We start from the raw sequence: 3727 nt of genomic DNA, 5'->3' as shown, positions 1-3727 counted from the left end.
AAATGTTATCTCTCTCCATGCTATGCTGCCTGAAGTTGGGGGAGGGGTGATGCGGGTAATGTAAAATTCCTTCCTATCATCTCCAATGAATCTTTTCTTATTTCTGTGCTATACTCAAGTATTGTGATCTTTCACTTAGTTTCTTCTGTACCTTTGAAAGTACTTTTTTTGTTGTTCAAACTGATATTTTTGTGGGCAGATAATCTCTTGAAAGATCTATGTTGCCATCGGGCTCCACCATCTCTTCATATTGCTGTATGACCAGTTGTATACATGTTTTTATTTGAACATATGTTTTCTATTATTTTGAGTTTAAACCTAGGAATGGAATGACTGGATAGAATGGTAATTCCATGTTACACTTTGAGGAATGACCAAATTATTTGCAGAACAGTTACAAACATTTTATATTCTAACCAGCAATGTAAGGGGGTTCCAATATCTCCACATCCTTGTCAATCTTGTTATTTTCTGTTGTTTTTATTTTAGTCATTATTGTAGGTGTGAAGTGGTATCTTGTGGTGATTTTGGTTTACATTTCCTTAATGATTAAAGATATTGAGCACCTTTTCATGTGCTTGTTGGCCATTTGCGTATCTTCTTTGGAGAAACATCTATTCAAACCCTTTGCCTATTTTTTAATTGGGTCATTTATCTTTTTGCTATTGAGTTATGAGAGTTCTTTTCATATTCTAAATATTATACTTTTATCAGATATATGATTTACAAATACTTTATCTAATTTTGCATGTTGTTTTCACTTTCCTGATAGTGTCCTTTGATTCACAAATATTTTTAATTTAAATAAAGTCCAATTTGTCTATTTTTTATTTTGCTTATACTTTAAAAATGTATGGGTACAAAGTAGCTGTATATAATTATGGAGTACATGAGATATTTTGATACAAGCATTCAATATGTAATCATCACATTGTGGTAAATGGGGTATCAATCACTGCAAGAATTTATCCTTTCTTTGTGTTACAAACATTCTAATTGTACTCTTTTAGTTATTTTAAAATGTACAACAAATTGTTAATTATAGTCATCTGTTGTGCTATCAAATATTAGATTTTATTAATTCCCTCTAAGTATATTTTTGTACCCATTAACAGTCCCCACTTGCCTCCCTACTATCCTTCTTAGCCTTTGGTAACCATCATTCTACTCTCTATCTCCATGAGTTCAATTGTTTTAATTTTTAGCTTTCCAAAATGGGTGAGAACATGCTAAGTTTGTCTTTCTGTGCCTCACTTATTTCTGTCAACATAATTTCCTTTAGTTCTGTGCATCCTATTACAAATGGCAGGATCTCATTCTTTTTTATGGCTTAATAGTACTCCATTGTATATATGTACCATATTTTCTTTATTCTTTTGTCTGTTGATGGATACTTAGGCTGATTCCAAATCTTGGCTATTGTGAATAGTGCTGGAATAAACACGGGGATACACATGTCTTTGATACATTGATTTTCTTTCTTTTGGGTATATACCTAACAGTGGTATTGCTGAATCATATGATCATTCTAATTTTAGTTTTTTGAAAAACCTTCATACTGTTCTCCCCAGTGGTTGTACTGATTTATGTACCCACAATAGTATATGAGGTTTTCCCTTTCTCCACATCTTTGCCAGCATTTGTTATTGCCTGTCTTTTGGAAATAAGCCATTTTAACTGGGGTGAGATGATATCTCATTGTAGTTTTGATTTGCATTTGTCTGATGATCAATGATGTTGAGCAACTTTTTGTATACCTGTTTGCCATTTGGACATCTTCTTTTGAAAAATATTTGCCTATTTTTAAATTGTATTATTAGATTTTTTTCTCCCATTTGGGAGAAAATGATCATAAACTATTGATTTGACAAGGGATTAATAATCAGAATATATAAGGAGCTAAAACTTATATATTCAAATTGTCTCTTCATTTTGTTGATTTTTTTCTTTTGTTGTGCAGAAGCTTTTTAATGTGATGTGATGCCATTTGTACATTTTTTTTCTTTTGTTGCCTATGCTTGTAGGGCATTACTCAATAAATCTTTGCCCAGACTAATGTCCTGGACAGTTCCCCCAAGGATTTCTTCTCGTAGTTTCATGTCTTAGATTTAAGTCTTAATCAATTTTGACTTTGTTTTTCTATATGATGAGAGATAAGAATCAAGCTTCATTCTTCTTCATAGGAATATCCAGTGTTCACAGCACCATTTGTTGAAGAAACTGTCTTTTCCTCAATGTATGTTCTTGGCACCTTTGTAAAAAATGAGTTCACTACAGATGTATGGATTTATTTCTGGATTCTCTATTTGTTGTTTGTACTTTCGATGTTATATCTACAAAACCATTGCCAATCATTTAAAGATTTACCCCTATGTTTTTTCCTAAGAATTGTATATTTTTTGCTCTTCCATTTAGATCTTTAGTATATTCTCAGTTCTTTTCTATATGTTATGAGATAAAGGTACAACTTTTTTCTTTTGCATGTGGGTATCCAGTTGTCCCAGAGAGTATATTTCTTTTAACTCCTCCAAATAGAGAATAATAATAATTATTATGATAAACGGTCAAGAGCAAGAACAAGCTACTCACAGAAGAAGTACGATTCTCCATACATGTACAAAAAGATGTTTAATGTCACTAATAATCAGGAAGATTCAAATAAGAATGATAATTAATAATCATTTTAAAATGTGATATAATTCACATACCATATAATTCACCCACTTAAAATGTACAATATGATGGCTGTTAGTATATTCTCAGAGTTGTGTAACTATTGTTAAAATCAATTTTAGAATATTTTTTCACCCCAAAAAGAAACACTGCATGATTTATTCATAAGCTCTATAATTTCCAGTACACACCCCCAGCTCTAGACAAACTAATCCACTTTCTGTCTCTGGTGATTTGCTTATTCTACATTTTACATAAATGTTTATTTTTCAGCATATTCTGCAATGGTAAACAAATGGAAGCAACATAAATGTCCATCAGTGGAAGGATGTATAAACAAATATAATCTTATCATATGATGGAATATGTATAAGGCCTTAATTATGCATTTCATTAAATGTACCTTGCTTTTAGCTGCCTGCTGGGCATTTAACTGTTTGCTCACTGGAGAACCTGTTTGCATGACACAATCTCCATTGCACCTGCTGAGCCAGGAACTGCAGTGGCTTCAATTCCCAGGCCTCATCCAGCTGGATCTATGGAGTCTCTGGCTTCTGCCACCAGTTTCAGATTCAGATAAATTGTAACACAATGAGGTATGGGACCTGGCATCCCCAGTAGCTGCTGGATAGTCCAGATGACAAAACTTGGAAACCTTTGTACAGGAAACAAAGGGATTAATACCACCAAGGACAAACATATATCAATAAAAAATAAGATGTTGAAAAAGGCTAGCAAACAATCTTTTCTTCTTTCCTACTCTCTTCTTCTCTCTTTTGCTTTCCTTTTATTTCTTGCTCTTGCTGCCTTGGGATATCACTTCCTAATAAAGCCTTAGCACAAAACCTTTACTCATAAGAAACCTTATTTTGAAATGAAAGTCAAGATGGCCAAATAGGAACAGCTCTGGTCTGCAGCTCCCACCGAGACTGATGCAGAAGATGGGTGATTTCTGCATTTCCATCTGAGGTACCTGGTTCATCTCATTGGGACTGGTTGGACAGTGGGTGCAGCCCATGGAGGTTGAGCCGAAGCAGGGTAAGGCATCGCCTCA

General features: G+C 33.6%; 1 annotated feature.

Annotated features, from left to right (window-relative positions):
• Positions 2874 to 3441: an enhancer, noted in NCBI's record as "NANOG hESC enhancer chrX:108268814-108269381 (GRCh37/hg19 assembly coordinates)". NCBI's record gives its function as "activates a minimal SCP1, AML or CMV promoter by ChIP-STARR-seq in primed H9 embryonic stem cells {active_cell/tissue: H9 hESC(primed)}" and the evidence as "EXISTENCE:reporter gene assay evidence [ECO:0000049][PMID:30033119]".

The sequence above is a fragment of the Homo sapiens genome, chromosome X, assembly GCF_000001405.40.
Source record: "Homo sapiens chromosome X, GRCh38.p14 Primary Assembly".
Classification (NCBI taxonomy): Eukaryota; Metazoa; Chordata; class Mammalia; order Primates; family Hominidae; genus Homo; species Homo sapiens.
This window is presented reverse-complemented; position numbering and strand designations above follow the sequence as displayed.